The sequence below is a fragment of the Homo sapiens genome, chromosome 1 (assembly GCF_000001405.40).
Source record: "Homo sapiens chromosome 1, GRCh38.p14 Primary Assembly".
NCBI classification, from domain to species: domain Eukaryota; kingdom Metazoa; phylum Chordata; class Mammalia; order Primates; family Hominidae; genus Homo; species Homo sapiens.
Window position 1 is genome coordinate 91,485 of NC_000001.11, and position 17,204 is coordinate 108,688.

Consider the following 17,204-nt stretch of genomic DNA (forward strand, 5'->3'; position numbering starts at 1 on the left):
GGTACATCCTCTCTTGAGCTACAGCAGATTAACTCTGTTCTGTTTCATTGTGGTTGTTTAGTTTGCGTTTTTTTTTCTCCAACTTTGTGCTTCATCGGGAAAAGCTTTGGATCACAATTCCCAGTGCTGAAGAAAAGGCCAAACTCTGGAAAAAATTTGAATATTTTGAGCCAAATGTGAGGACCACAACCTGTGAGAACGGAAAATAAATCCTGGGACCCCAGACTCACTAAGCCAAAGGGAAAAGCCAAGCTGGGAACTGGCTTATGCAAACCTGCTTCCCATCTGGTTCCTAAATAAGATAGCTATTACACAAAGACAAAAAAGCTACATCCCTGCCTCTACCTCCATCGCATGCAAAATGTGTATTCAGTGAACGCTGACCAAAGACAGAAGAATGCAACCATTTGCCTCTGATTTACCCACACCCATTTTTTCCACTTCTTCCCCTTTCCCCAATACCCGCACTTTTCCCCTTTACTTACTGAGGTCCCCAGACAACCTTTGGGAAAAGCACGGACCACAGTTTTTCCTGTGGTTCTCTGTTCTTTTCTCAGGTGTGTCCTTAACCTTGCAAATAGATTTCTTGAAATGATTGAGACTCACCTTGGTTGTGTTCTTTGATTAGTGCCTGTGACGCAGCTTCAGGAGGTCCTGAGAACGTGTGCACAGTTTAGTCGGCAGAAACTTAGGGAAATGTAAGACCACCATCAGCACATAGGAGTTCTGCATTGGTTTGGTCTGCATTGGTTTGGTCTGGAAGGAGGAAAATTCAAAGTAATGGGGCTTACAGGTCATAGATAGATTCAAAGATTTTCTGATTGTCAATTGGTTGAAAGAATTATTATCTACAGACCTGCTATCAATAGAAAGGAGAGTCTGGGTTAAGATAAGAGACTGTGGAGACCGTGCATAGTTGCTTCCTGATCAGCTCTTTATTTGATTGAGAGTGAGGCAGGGAAGATTAGAGGGAAGCTTACAGTGGAATTCAGGGCTGAGGCTGCTATTCTTTTGCTCCTTGTAACTTCCTACAGTGTTGTCAGCATCCACATACTTCTCTGTGGGGTTGGTCTCAGAGCCAGGTTACCTTGTCTTAGGTCCAGTGGCACCCTGACTGGCTTGGTGTCCTTGAACAAGTTACCTAACCTCTCCAAACCTCAGTCCCTCAGTTGTAAAATTAAAAAAAAAAAAAAGAAGAAGAAGAGTACCTACTGTATAGCATTGATTTGAAGATTGAATGAGCTGGTATTATACAACGTTTAGAAGCAGTGCCTGACACGCAAAAGGCTCTCAACAAATACTATCCTTTACTAATATCCTGTGTGTCTGTATCAGAGCTGGTGGGGTGGAGGGACAGAAACAAGTGGGAGAAGGTAAAGAGATGGACAAATGATCTCTAAAGTCTCTCTGGCACTAACACAATTCTTTATTATGTGTTTTGTCTGGCTCTTTATATTGATAGCTGTTCCAGAGGCAATCAATAGCTATTAGTCGGTTTTATTCTTATTTTTCTGTCTGATCTTACAGGGGAGCAAACTGTGGCAAAGTATGAACTTACTTCTCAGGAAATTAACCATTATATTGGCAATCACTGTGATTATTTGAACTTCAGCGTCTGGACAAATTTAGTCACATGAAATACAGAAGAGAGATTTCTCATGGTTAAAACGAAGCTCTCTTTATTTGCTTCTGCTAATTAAAAAATCAGAGCTAAAGATACTTAAACACTACAGTTAAAATGCCATGGTTGTCTATTGGCTTAACGAATTCTCTTATGAAATCAACTCTAAAATGCTATCCATCATAAATCATGAAACGCAATTTTTCTTATTCTCTTTAGAGCTTTACAATTCATCTTAAAGACCAGTGTTTACACTCTCTTCTGTAGGTTGTACAATAACTTTTGGCGAGAAAAAATAAAAGTCTGGCTTTCTGACTCATAGGTGTGTTCCCTTTAACAGAAAAAGAAAATATGTCCTCTTTAAAACTGATGATCATTGGTCACCTCAATTTTATTGAAGTTCACTTCTGACCTCTTTAGATGTAGTTCTCTACATAAAACTGCCCAACAGAATTCTCTGTCTGAATGTCTCCTCCACAAACAAAATTTTAAGAACTAAAATTATCATCTTTCCTTCCAAATATGCTCTCCCTATGTCCCCAGGGCTCTCCATGTGTAGAGCTGAGACCATTTGCCACTCAGTTTCCTCACCCAATTAATTACAAGTCCCAACAATTTTCCGGTTTTTTTGTTTTTGTTTTTGTTTTTAGACGGAGTCTTGCTCTGTCACCAGGCTGGTGTGCGGTGGTGCAATCTCAGCTCACTGCAACCTCCGCTGCCTGTGTTCAAGCGATTCTCCTGCCTCAGCTTCCCAAGTAGCTGGGATTATAGGTGTGTGCCACTACATCCAGATAATTTTTGTATTTTTAGTAGAGAGGGGATTTCACCATATTGGCCCAGATGATCTCAATCTCTTGACCTCATGATCTGCCCACCTTGGCCTCCCAAAGTGCTGGGATTACAGGTGTGAGCCGCCATCCCTGGCCCAGTTTTGCCTTTTTAACATCCCTCAGCTCTTCAAATCCATTTTCTCTTCTCTAACACCTCCCCATTCCCCAGCTCGTAATGAACTCGTAAGTAGATTACTACAATCACCTCCCAAATGGTCTTCCTGGCTCCATCAGCCTTGTGACCTTCAAGTTCATTTTCCACATGGATGTCAGAGTAACTTTCTAAAATGAAAATCTGACCACGTTACTCTCTTGCCTAAATCCGCCTATGGCCGCTGTTAGGATCAAGTCTAAACTCCCGACCCTGGAACATCAGGTCTTCGTGCTCTGTTCACTGCTTCTCTACCTCACCTGCAACCAACACCACTCCCACATCCATATGCTGCTCACCGTGTATCAACATGAACAGGAGGTGGGTGTTTCAGTCCCCAGGAAGACACTGGGCCTTTTCAATCATCTACTGCTGTGTAATAACCACCCCGCAAACTGACCACATGATTTCATTTTGCAAGGGTTCCTTCCTTGGGCTGTGTTCAGCAAAAGGGTTTACTGAGCTGGCAGGTCCAAGATGGCCTCACTCACAGGACTGGCTGTTGATGGGAGCCTTGATGCTCTTGGGCTCACCCCTTATCCTCCAGTAGGTTAGAGCTTCTTACAGTGGTTTCAGGCAGCATCTGAAGACAGTAAAAGCAGAAGCTCCAAGGCTTCTTACATTCTAGCCTGGAAAATCACATCACATTGCTTCCTTCATATTTTTTTGGCAAATCAGGTTGCAAGGCTTGCCCAGATTAGGGTAAAGAGGCAAAGAGGCTCCTTTTCTTTTCTTTTCTTTTTTTTTTTTTTTTTTTTTTTGAGTCAGAATCTCGCTCTGTTGCCCAGGCTGGAGTGCAGTGGTGCAATCTAGGCTCACTGCAAGCTCTGCCTCCTGGGTTCACGTCATTCTCCTGCCTCAGGCTCCCAAGTAGCTGAGACTACAGGCACCTACCACCACGCCTGGCTAATTTTTTTTTATTTTTTATTTTTTAGTAGAGACTGTGTTTCACTGTGTTAGCCAGGATGGTCTCCATCTCCTGACCTCGTGATCCTTGCAAAGGGACATGCAGACCACATTAGTGAGAATATGTGCCTGTATTTTGCAATCTGTAACATGGGCATAAACTAAATGTTTTCCAAAGGGAATAGGGCAAAACAAAAAGGACCTTGACCACTCCTTGGCCCTGAATAAATCCAGGAAGCCTAAGAGTATGACTATCCTGAGGTAGAAAGAGGGTCACATGCTGGATAAGAGGTACCTGGGCTCTCCACTTACAAGAAGAGAGCATGGTTACATTTATAATCACCATTCCCAACATGCTGTGAGTGCAGGCAGCTACCAGGAGGAGAACAAAGGAAATAACCAGGACACTCATCTCTAAACCTGTTAATTTAATCACACGGAACACTTCTATTTAAAATTCCCGAGAGTTAAGATGTAAGAATGCTTATCAAGGTAAATGCTGTTCACACTGCTTGGAGTGTCAGGCCTAGATCTCTATCCATCAGAAACAACAATATCAATAACAACAACAGCAACATGATGATGGGGCAATTTCTTAAAAGCACCATGTATTTTATCGATACATGTCCGTTGCAGAAAATCCAGGTGAATCCAAAGAAGAAATAAATGTCTTCCACAATCCCATAGCCCAGAGCTAACTAACCACTATAAAGAACCCAGCGTGGTTTTAACTAATGGATCAAAAGATGCTCATCAAAGGCTCTGAGCTTTCCTGAGTGCTAACAGGAAACATCCAGCATCACTGGTCTCTCCAAGGCTGCAGGTGTCTTTGCCCATAGTGCCTGTTTTGTGTCAGGGAAAGAATCAACCTGGGAGCCAAGCCCAGGAATCAGGATGACCAAGACATACTGCACAAGGAGGGAACAAACCCATCCAAGGACACTCAAGGACAAATCAAGCAAATGAATTTAAGGGAGACGTGCTCATGGTCTGCTTTGCTGCTCAGCATGGCTGGGAGGCACAGTGGAAGATCATGCATCCTGCCCCTGGGACTCCTCTGCCAGAGCCTGAGAGCTTTCTCCTGCCCACAGGCTAGGGGTAGGGCAGTTGGAATTGATCCATGCCTTCTAGCTAGACTGTGGGTCCCCTCAGTCTTGGGCATGGTGACAGCCCAGCATCAGACAGAGGTCAGTATCAAACTAGAAAATTTAATAAATACTGTCAGATTTGTAGACCCAAGAAAATATAAACTGCCAATCACGGAGGAAAAAAATCTCTCAATGATCTTATCTTTATATGATTCCCTTGCTGCCTGGAGATTGACATTTCCTTGGGGATAATCTGGTCATAGGATTGGTGAAGGTGGAAGGGAGGCAACCTCCAAAGGTGGGGCCCTCTGCTCACCTGGGACAGGGAGGGCCTGAGGTAGGTGTCTGTGTGGGCTGGGGAGGAGGATGGGAGCAGTGCTTCTAGATGTTTCCACTTTCTCCTCATTAGATAATAACGAATGGGTGATTTCCCTAGTCACTGCAGTGTGAGGAAATCTACAAAATTAATTTCACAATACGCTTTACAGGATAGGTGGAGAAACACATGAAGTACAACTGCAGTGGGTTATAAAAAACGGCCTTTCGAGTTGAGCAATAAATTCGTTCAAGCAGCCATTCTGAAGGACAAACTGGCTCTGTATTTAAGAGGGGCATTCCAGCACTTCTCTAGCCACTGGGTTGACAATGACTCACCAAAGCCTCTGGTAGCCACCACAGGACACCCAGAGCATATGTTTTAAAGCTGAACACCAAACTGCGGACTTCGGGAGTAAGTGAACTGACTGGTTTTTATTTTGTTTTACTGCTTTTAACATTACAGTAACTGTTACAGGTTCCAGCAGGCTAACTGGGTGGAAATGAGTTTGGTTTCACTTAGTCTCTCTAAAGAGAAAGCAAGTCGGTAGACTAATACCTAATAAAAGCAAAGCTGCCAACAATTGAAATTGCCTAGGCTGCTCTGTGTGTCCCACATGCATGGGTGTGGGTGCCAGTGTGTGTGCGTGTGTGCATGCATGTGCATGTGTGTTGGGATAGAGTGGTAAGAAAATGGGAAATAATAAGAATGTTCAGTCCATAGCCCTTCATTATAAAAAGGTGAGCTGTAATAAATACTAGTGCCACATTTAGCCAAAACTTTACTCCAGCCAAAGGTGATATTTTCATGATAACATCCTGTGATTGCTTTGTTCTTCGTCTTTTATGTTCTTCCTAGATGGGCTCAGAACATACAAGAATTAAGTACACATCTTATTTTCCAGTGATAATGCTACCGGCAAATTCTGTTGTTTGTATAAACATCAGCCATGTTTATATAACTAAACTAGTGTTTTGTTTTGTCAATTCAGCAAGAAATTAGACCAAATGGTGGCTTAATGCTGCATTGATTTGGCTATCAATTTGTTTTCACTTTTCTGCAAAATAATTAATACATTATTAAATTGAATTGTGCTGATGCCACAGTTGTTCTTATCTCAAGTGTCTTAAAATTCATTTAATTTGTTTTTCCTTTGGTTTCATTATTCAAATTTTAACTTCAGTTCTCAAGATTTTATCTGATGGAAGAGATGGAGTCCATTACTAAGGACTCCATTGTGCTCCATCATGCCAGAGTTGTAAAATAGATCTTTTAAAGGAAATTTACTGTGATTTTTTTTCTATTTAAGAGCTTCCTCTCCAGTTGAGCATGTAAGAAAATTATACCAGGAGAATACAGTAAACTCTATGAGGCAAGCTATAAACATGTAGCATTGTGATTAGGGCTGGTTCTCCTTCTAGAGACATGGTAGGATTGCAATTTCATACCATCCTTGAAGTTAGAGAGAGCCACGTGACTCATTTAGCCAATGAACTGTGAGCAGAATGACATGTCACTTCCAGCTGAAGCTTTAACAATCTGAGAGACATTCATACATTTTCCATGTGCTGTAGCCTTATACCCAAAGCCTGGGTCCCAAGTGACCATGACAGGCAGAGCTCCCTGTTGAGCCACAGAGATTTAGAGAATGGCTGTTAACACAGCATAATCCAGCCCATCCTGACTAATCTGATATTAACATGTATAATAAAGAATTCTATCAATGCTGAGGGAAGATGACTAGTTAAGGTCCTAGGTTGCAAGTCTCAAAACCTCTTCTAAGGATTGTAGACAGGAAATTAAATGACTTCTAGTCCCTAGAGTTCCCAATCTCCTACCATCCCATCCTAATATGACAGAAGTAATTCCTGAGTTGCTTCTGAAACCAGAGCTTCCCTCAGAACCCTTAGCCTGCCAGATGGCTTCTTGGAGAGCCCTCACTCACTTTTCTCCTTCTGCTATTGCTGCTCATTCATTCCAGTTTTTAAAAATTCATCTTTATCCAGGAACCTCGCTTCTAGAAAAGTCATACAGGTGCTTCCAGGAGGCTACATGGGCACCCATATTTTTCTAGCCACTTTCATTAGACCAATGCAGCAGAGAAGAAAAGCCTCAATAATTATTATGACATGGCATGTTAGGATACCAAGTAAATTGCATTTGTAAAATGTGATTTTCTGTTGGTGTTCACTTCAGCTCTACTGACATTTGGTAAGTATTATTGACTGACTGACTAACTAATGTGGTCATTAGTCTTCATAAAGAAAGGCTCTCTACAAAAACGGAGGGATGCCCTTTTTCTGGCATTTAATACGTAAGAAATTGCCTCCAATAGAAACCAGAGTTGCCTGATTACTATCAGCACAGGAGAAATGTATTAATGTGCCTTTCTAGTAACAGGTTTTTAGAAAGTCAAATATAAACAAATCTGTCTATTTGTGTGTGTGCATGTGGTAGTGGGGAGGGAAGAAAAAAGGAGGGGGAGAGAAAGAGAAATAAGAACCAAGTTTATTATACTGTATTCAGGGGGAAAAAATTTTCCCAAGGTCCTAACAGAAGAGCAAAGTGCCACTGTCAATAGCCTCAGTAGTGTTAGGGTTGCTTTTATTTATTTATTTATTTATTTATTTATTTATTTATTTATTTTTCCTTTTTTTTCTTTCTCTTTTTTTCTTCTTTTTTTTTTCTTTTCTTTCTTTTTTTTTTTTTTTTTTTTTTTTGGACAGAGTCTCACACTGTCACCTGGGCTGGAGTGCATTGGTGCAATCTCGACTCACTGCAACTTCTGCCTCCCAGGTTCAAGTGATTCTCCTGCCTCAGCCGCCCAAGTAGCTGGGATTACAGGTGTCTGCCACCGTGCCTAGCTAATTTTTTTGTATTTTTAGTAGAGATGAGGTTTCACTATGTTGGCCAGGCTGGTCTCAAACTCCTGACCTCATGATCCACCCACGTTGGCCTCCCAAAGTGCTGGGATTACAGGCGTGAGCCACCGCCCCTGGCCAGGATTGCTTTTACAGCCAGTCTTCAGGTGCCCACTGTAGGAACAATGTCATTTAACCCTCGGGATTATTCTGTGCCAAATATGGATAATGACTAATATCCAACACAGATATTCTCAGCTCAGAAGAGCAATTAGCAAATTCATAAATTAAGTGCTTGCTTCCTCTTTAGTCAAATACAAACGTTTGTTAAAAGATATTATTTTGCTTTACACTTTTTCTCTCAGAAATAAGCAGATGCTTGAATTCCCACAGTGCTGCTTGAGCCTCACACCATGTCATCCTGCCAGGCACCCAGATCCAGTTCTAGAGTTTCACATGATCGTGAGTGTTGGTTAATAAGTCAATGTGAACTGGGAGGGGAGATTTTTCAGGAGTGCCACAGGGCTCTCCCTTTAATCACATACACTCCCTGCTTTCATTGGAAAGTGTATAATGATGTCAGAGTGCCCCAGAATGGAGCTAGTTGGAAGACTGCCGTCATAGGGATGCCTTAGTGAATTAATAAGGTTTTAATTTCTGGCTCTCAACTTTGTAGATGTAAAAGTTGATTTATCAATATGTGAGAAAGGATGAATCTTTCTGAAGGTTATGTCATCACACTCACTAAGCACACAGAGAATAATGTCTAGAATCTGAGTGCCATGTTATCAAATTGTACTGAGACTCTTGCAGTCACACAGGCTGACATGTAAGCATCGCCATGCCTAGTACAGACTCTCCCTGCAGATGAAATTATATGGGATGCTAAATTATAATGAGAACAATGTTTGGTGAGCCAAAACTACAACAAGGGAAGCTAATTGGATGAATTTATAAAAATATGCCTCAGCCAAAATAGCTTAATTCACTCTCCCTTATCATAAGGATAATCTTGCCTAAAGGGACAGTAATATTAAAGACACTAGGAATAACCTCTGTACTTTGGACAGTAGACCTGCATAGCCCATTAGGCCTCAATGAAGTCTTATGCAAGACCAGAAGCCAATTTGCCATTTAAGGTGATTCTCCATGTTTCTGCTCTAACTGTGCTTCACAATACTCAAAACACTAAATCAGGATGTTTCCTGGAGTTCAGGGAGCTGTCCGTGTTACTGAGCAGTTCTCAGCAACACAAAGATCCTACTGACTCCTCATCAGACTTCTTTCTCACTGGAATTTTACACCTGGGCTGTTAACACCAGGCCAGGTCAAATTCAAAGGAGAGAAAAAAGCTCATTATGAAGGGTAAAATCCAAAACACTGTGCATAAAGATATGGCACAATTTTTATACATAAAGATTTCATAAAACCAAAGCATCAGGAAATGAAAAGAGATACAGAAAGAAAAATGATGGTAAATGAGACATTAATTTACCCTTCTAATCTCTATCACAGCAAAAAGATAATTAAAAAATCTATATGAGGACCACAAAATACACAAAAATTATGTAGCAAAGCCTATAGCCTGAAAAAGTAAACATTGAAATTTGTATGTCCATAAAATGTTTACAAAATTCAGTACATATTACACACCCCACCCTAAAAACATCTAAGCAAAGTAGAGAATGTAGAAATGCTACAGATTATATTCTCTGATTATGACACAACAAAACTAGAAATTACAGCATGGAAATTTAAAAGCTTTCTCTTAAATAATTCTATGTCAAAAAGAAATCCAGGCCGGGTACAGTGGCTCATGCCTGTAATTCCAGTACTTTGGGAGGCCAAGGTGGGCAGGTCACTTGAGGTCAGCAGTTCAAGACCAGCCTCGTCAACATGGTAACACCCTGTCTCTACTAAAAATACAAAAATTAGCTGGGCCTGGTGGCTCATGCCTGTAATCCCAGCTACTTAGGAGGCTGAGGCAGGAGAATTCCTTGAACCCAGAAGGTGGAGGTTGCAGTGAGCTGAGATTGCACCACTGCACTCCAGCCTAGGTGACACAGCAAGACTCTGTCAAAAAAAAAAAAAGAAATCCAAATAAAATTTCCAGAATATGTGGAAAATAGTGACAATAAAAATATTACACATGTGTAATCCCAGCATTTTGAGATGCCAAGGTGGCAGGATCACTTGAGACCAGGAGTTCGCAACCAGCCTGGACAACATAGGGAGACTCCATCTCCACACACGCCAAAAAAAATTTTAAATAGCCAGGTATAGTGGTACTTCCTGTAATCCCATCTACTTGGGAGGCTAAGGTGGGAGAATCACCCAACCTCAGGAGTTCAGGGCTTCAGCAAGCCATGATCATATCACTGCACTCCAGCCTCAGCAACAGAGCAAGATCCTATCTCAAAAAAAAAAAAAAAATCACATGTGGGAAATAGCTATAGCACAATAAAAATAAATGTATTAAGTATGAACAACAAAAAAGCTAGTAAAGGTTGAACAACAACTATCCTTAGGAAAGTGGAAATAATGTATTAATAAATATGAAAGCAGGCTAGCCACGGTGACTCACATCTGTAATCCCAGCACTTTGGGAGGCTGAGGCAGGCAGATCACCTGAGGTCAGGAGTTCCAGACCAGCCTGGCCAACATGGTGAAATCTTGTCTCTCCTACAAATACAAAAACTAGCCAGGCTTGGTTGTGCACTCCTGTAATTCGAGCTACTTGGGAGGCTGAGGCAGGAGAATCTCTTGAACCTGAGAGGCAGAGGTTGCAGTGAGCCAAGATCATGCCACTGCACTCCAGCTGGGGCAACAGAGTGACACTCCATCTCAAAATAAATAAATAAGAAAGCAGAAACTAATAAACTAGAAAACAGAAACATAGAACTAATTTATAAATCAAAGCACTATGCCTTGAAAAGAGGGAGAAAAATTGTGAATTAAGGAAGGGAAGAGATGGTTGGAGAGGAGGTGGGAGAAGGCAGAGATAATTGAAGGAGCAAAAGCATCTGGAGAAGCAAAGCCACTGAAAGATGAACAGGGCTCTGAAAGAGATGCTTGACTGCTATCTTTTCAAATGACTGCAGTTCCCAGTGACATCATTTTTCTCCTCCCTGGAAGTCTGAGGGGCAGTTCACTTATCTCCTCCCCTCCCCTACTCCTCACCCCACACTCAAAACCTGTCTATGCTCCTTTCATTCTCATATGACAGATTTCAGATGGCATTCTTATTTCCCTGATTTCTTTTTGAGATAGCTTGCATTTCCCTCCTCTATATAAAGCCACCGTTTATCAAATGCCTACATGGACCAAGCAGTCCACAAGGGCTTCACAGACAGTTTTACTAAACTCATGCCAAAACTTTCAGGTTTTATACCTACCTTATAGATAAAGAAATTGAAGCTTATAGAGTTTAAGTAATGTTCCCAAAGCCTCGTGGCTAGTAATTCAAACCTAATTTCTGCCTACTCCAAAGTCTATTTTTCCTTATGATACTCTACTGCCTCTCCATGGATAAAGACAGAGATCACATATTAATAAAATTTGCACAAAGTCGGCAAATTGTTGAAAGGGAAGGCTAAGATGATTAATAAAATCAAGAGCCAGATGATCTCAACAACCTGAAATAACTGGCTGACAACCAATTTGAATAACTCCCTGCGGGTGAAGTTCAAAGTACTATTTGGGTTTTTTTTTAAAGTTTGGCTGGGTGCAGCGGCTCACGCCTGTAATCCAAGCACTTAGGGAAGCCAAGGTGGGCAGATCATGAAGTCAGGAGTTGAAGACCAGCCCGGTCAACATGGTGAAACCCCATCTCTACTAAAAATAAAAAATTAGCCGGGCCTGCTGGTGGATGCCTGTAGTCCCAGCTACTCGGGAGGCTAAGGCAGGAGAATCGCTTGAACCCAGGAGGTGGAGGTTGCAGGGAGCCGAGATCGCACCACTGCACTCCAGCCTGGGCGACAGAGCGAGATTCCGTCTCAAAAAGTAAAATAAAATAAAATAAAAAATAAAAGTTTGATATATTCAGAATCAGGGAGGTCTGTTGGGTGCAGTTCATTTGAAAAATTCCTCAGCATTTTAGTGATCTGTATGGTCCCTCTATCTGTCAGGGTCCTAGCAGGAAATTGTTGCACTCTCAAAGGATTAAGCAGAAAGAGTTTAATGAAGGGTCTCTTTCCAGGGTTAAGGGAACTGCTAGGGTTTGGATATTTGACCACTCCAAACTCATGTTGAAATGTGATCCCCATTGTTGGAGGTGGGGCCTAATGGGAGGTGTTTTGGTCCTGAGTGTGGACCTCTCACGAATGTCTTGGTGCCATCCAAGTGAGTTCTTGCTCGCTCTTTTTTTTCTTTTTGAGATGTAGTTTCACTCTTGCTGCCCAGGTTGGAATGTAGTGGTGCGATCTTGGCTCACTGCAACATCCACCTCACGGGTTCAACCCATTCTCCTGTGTCAGCCTCCAGAGTAGCTAGGATTACAGGTGCCCACCACTATGCCCAGCTAATTTTTGGTATTTTTAGTAGAGACGGGGTTTCACCATGTTGGCCAGGCTGGTCTCAAACTCCTGACCTCAGGTGATACACCTGCCTCGGCCTCCCAAAGTGCTGGGATTACAGGTGTGAGCCACCATGCCTACCTAGTTCTAGCTCTCTTAATTCCCACAAGAGCTGGTTGTTAACAAGAGCCTGGCACAAACCCCTCTCTCTCGCCACGTGATCTCTGCACATGCCAGCTTCCCTTCCCCTTCTGCCATGAGTGGAAACAGCCTAACGCCCTCACCAGAAGCAAATGGTGGCACCATGCTTCTTGCACACCTTCAGAACTGTGAGCCAAATAAACCTCTCTTCTTTAAAATTATTCAGCCTCTGGTATTCCTTTATAACAACACACACACACACACACACACACATACACACACACGCAAAAGCAGACTAAAACAGGAACTAATTAGAAATGGTGATGCACCGAGGGATTGGCACCGAGGCTCCCCAACAGGAACTGAGGTCATGGATAGAAGGACACATTCATGTTATTTTTTTCTAATGGTTAAGTAATTATTTGCTCTTACTCTCAAAATTTCTGCCAAGGCCTCCCATGGACCAAACTCAACTAGAATCTAGGAAGCAGAGAACCTGAGTGTTGCATTCAGCAGAAGTCAGCTTCCTAGGGAATCTTGCAGGAAGGGTGAAGGTAGAGAATCTGGTGGGGAAGCAAGCAAATGCCCATCACATGCACTTTCCTCCAACAGAGCGACTCAGATGCTATAAAACTTGCTAACACAGTCTCAGGGTCTGATCACAGTAACATACAATCCAGGTTTTAATCATCAGAAATCACAGTCCTATTGTCTTCTGCACAGACCCAAACACACTTGGAGGTCATGTTCAATATGAATACCTCACAGAGAAGGAAATTTACACGCGAGAAGTACATCTGCAGAAAGCCAGCTGGCATGTCAACCATTCAAAAACTCAGGGTGTTCTGGATAAAGAAGACTCAGGAAGACAAGTATGAAGCATAATCTGTGACATTCCATGCGGCAGACATTAGACACATACAAGAGAGTTGTTGGAAAGCGGAATTTATCTTCATATAAACAACACTGAGCTAAATCTCAATATTTCAGATCTCTAGAACTATCCATCAGTGAAATGGATTGCAAATACAAAGAGTAATACCATGTCACTTAAGAATAGAATCATGGACGAGGCTGCCACCTGCTGTTGGGGGCCACTGCAGAAGAAATTCCAGAACACTGGACTGGAGAGCACCTCACTTTCCTTACAGCTCTAAGTTTCTGACTCAGTGACCTGATTCACTACCATATACACAAAGACCCACTTACACAAATGACTGTTCTTCACACTAGGCCCATGGAGACAGGGATAAAATTCTGAATTTGCTCAGATACCTTCTCCGCTACTGACATCTAGGCATTACACAATTCATCTCTTCATATTTAACCTTTGAAGTTTGCTACTTCTCAGAGAGACTAATGAGTAGTGAGCAAATATCCTGAAGCTGAGAATGCTTCTACCTCCTCTCAAAACAACGGAATATTCATCAAAACACAGCAGTTCTGCACTTAACTTTAGGCCTTTTCTAACACCTTGTTTCTTGGCAGTAACTGTGGCCAGAATAGCTCTTTCCACAGATAAAGGACCTTTTGAAAGGATAGGGTCTCTAGATAGAAAAGCAAATGCCTCATTCCAGAAGGTCTTCAAGAAGAAAATGTTGTGGTGATAACAAACATAACTGATTATAATCTATTCTGTGAAAAAAGCTTATGAAACAGTAGATGTGTGTATCTAGTACATAAGAGCTGAATGTCAATATATATATAGATATATACACACACTCAAATAAATAATAGTTATCTCTAACTAGAGAAATTCTAGTTGCCTTATATTTTCTTCTTTTTCCTTACTATATTTTCTACAATAAACATGTGTTTTTAACAAGAAAAGTCTTTTCTGGTGTGCTTTTTAATTTTCTTTGTTTAAGTGAGAGTGAGGCTACATAACTACATGGCTAGGTAGACTTTTAGAAAACTTGGCTGCTCTAGAAAATTGACATATCCTGATTTCTTCCATAGCTTGGATCTTGACCTAGAGGGAAATATAAAAGTGTTGACTTGAACCTGAGGGGTGCCATTTTCACTGCTGAAGTAGTTTCATGGATCATGAATTGGAGAAATGACTTCAGCAACATGGGTGTTAAAATCAGAAAGCACAAGTGACCCACAACAGATGATGGAGAACAAAGAGCAAGCTGGGAAAGCAGTGGCCTTTAATACAGAAAAGAAGAAGTATAGCCACAATAAATATTAGGCAGACAGCAGTTCAGCAGTTTATACTATTAAGCTGTTGTTTAGGGGAATAGTAAACTGACATGACCCTTGAGGTAGGTATATATAGGTAAATTCTATGTGTCCCTTGAAATAGGTGTATGACACAACTTCTGGCATCTACATGGATTTGGTCACTCTAAAGTAGCCATGAGGCTTAAGATAGTTCAGCTGTTTGGGGATAAGTTAAATCATTTGCCATTGTCTTTCTGCAATTTGCATATCCTACAGTTATCATTGCCATTACTGAATGGCACAGAGAAAAATTCTGGTCTAAAGTGGTTCTCAAACCTGGTTGCTGGAGGGCCACCCTCAGTGATGATGATTTAATCTGTAGAAGAATAGAACATTGATAGTTTTTATATATCTCCAGGTAATTTTAATATATAACTGGGGTGAGAATCATTGACATAATTGTAACAGGATAATATTCAGGAAATATGGAGATAAATAATTTTCTTCTCGACATTAAAAAAATCTAATAAAAAGTTTTATGTTTTCCCCTAACTCAGGGTCATCAGCCTTCAAGCTTCAGTCTCTGTGTGTTCACAGGTGCTGTAAACACACGCATCACTACTAATATCCCACTTCAGTGCTATTGCTGCTCCCAAAACTCCAGGTATTTTTAACCTTATAAACCTCCAGAATAATGAGACCACTGGGTTCAGTAAATTGCTTTGTTTTGAAGCACTATTAGACAAAGTGGGAGACTAGAAGATAAATCTGTCAATGACATGTCCTTTAAGACTACTTAGATTTTGTTGAATTTGTGGATCATTCCTTACTTGAGCAAATGGTAAATTAACTCTCTCTTTTCTCTCTCTCTCTAGCTGGCACACTTTTTCCAGTAGCCATTCTACTTGGTATGCTTACTTATCAGCTGTCCTCCAGGGGCCTCACATTAGATGTTTCTCTGACTAACCAAACATGACACACAGCTGAAGTCAGAAAAACCAGATTGATAATTTCACTCAAACTATTTTCCTTCATTCTAACAATTTACTGGAGTACACAATTGTGACTATTTTTAGCCATAGGAACTCATAGAAAGACCAACTTCATTAGACCTACAAAATCGAATTGTGTAACAGTATATGCAGTATGTGTAGGAATAAAAAGCATTTCTCAAATATGCAGTACTGGATTTTGCAAAAGCACCTTACACTTAGCTATAAAGGAGTGGAAAACACAAAGATGAGTAACTGCACTTTTCAAAAGACTAGAGCTATACCAATAATACAAAGGTGTAAACAAATAATGATGAGATGACAAAGGCTGAGTGTTTTCTATTTGGAAGCTATGTTGTTGAGTTATTTATGTATATAATTTCATGCAATCTTCATGTTATGGGGATGTTCTAATCCACTGTGACTCTGTCCTTAAATAAAAGGGAGATTTGGACATAGAGAGAGGCACACGGGGAGGATGCCATATGAGAATTGACACTGTGCTGTCACAAGCCAAGGAACTACTGGAAGGAGAGAAAGAGGACTGGAACAGTTCCTTCCTTAGCACCTTTTCAGGCAGCCTAGCCCTGCCAGCTTCTTGATCTGGACTTCTCACCTCTAGAATTGTGAGGCAATAAATCTCTGTTGCTTAAGTTACCCAGTTTGTGGTACCTTATTACAGGAGCCCTAGGAAAATAATTCATTATATAATCTGCTAAGGTAGATATGATCATTGTCTCCAATTTCCATATGAAGAAACTATGCCTCAGGCATTGTGTCAGTTGTCCAAAATCATACATTCCTGACTCACTTCAATGAATTCTTCATTCAGCAAAATTTTTAAGGTACCTTAAAAAAATTATGTTAACTCTTAGGGCCTTGCTTTAAAGCTTCAATGGGCTTTTCCTTTGCAAAGAATAAAATCCTAATACTTAAGCATAGCTCTCTTTCCTGGCTATGTTTCTGACATCCTCTTGTACCATGCTCCTCCTTAATCATTCTGAGGTTACATCTTAAGTCCTTTCCCCTTGCCATTCCCACTTCTTGGAATACTTTCCCATCAACTCTTCAAAGAACTGCCTTCTTTAAGTATTTGGTCTCAGTTCCAATGTCACTTCCCTGTAAAAGCTTCCTGGCCATCAAGCCTTCTTTACACACTCTATTTTATTTTTTCATGGTTCCTATAACAACCTAATATATTCTCAATTGATTAACTGTTTTGCTGAATACTGCCTTCCATAAGAATGGAAAGAAAACATGGCCAGGTGCAGTGGCTCACACCTGTAATCCCACCACTTCAGGAGGCTGAGGCAACATGGCAAAACCTTCTCTTCAAAAAATTTTTTAAAAGTTAGCTGGATGTTGTGGAGGCAAGAGGATCACTTGAGGATCACTTGAGTCCATGAGGTCAAGGCTGCAGTGAGTCATGTTTGCACCACTGCACTCTAGCCTAGGTGACAGAGCTAGTCACTATCAAAAAAAAAAAAAAAAGAATGGAGAGAATGCTACATGAGAGAAAGGATCTTATCTATCATGTTCACCTCCCAAGAGGTGAACATATCCCCCAAAGCCTGATAGAGAGAAGATGCTCATTAATATTTAATGCATGACCATGTGC

The 17,204-nt window shown here is 41.1% G+C and overlaps 1 long non-coding RNA gene across 2 annotated transcripts; it reads left to right on the forward strand.

Annotated features, from left to right (window-relative positions):
* Positions 1–3,737: 3,737 nt before the first annotated feature.
* LOC124903816 (uncharacterized) lies at positions 3,738–16,243 on the forward strand. Of its 2 annotated transcripts, XR_007065338.1 has the most exons (3): positions 3,738–8,235; positions 15,152–15,258; positions 15,470–16,243. It is a non-coding gene; the product is annotated as an uncharacterized LOC124903816 (long non-coding RNA). The 2 variants fall into 2 exon arrangements; XR_007065337.1 differs by having other exon boundaries at positions 15,152–16,243.
* Positions 16,244–17,204: the final 961 nt, after the last annotated feature.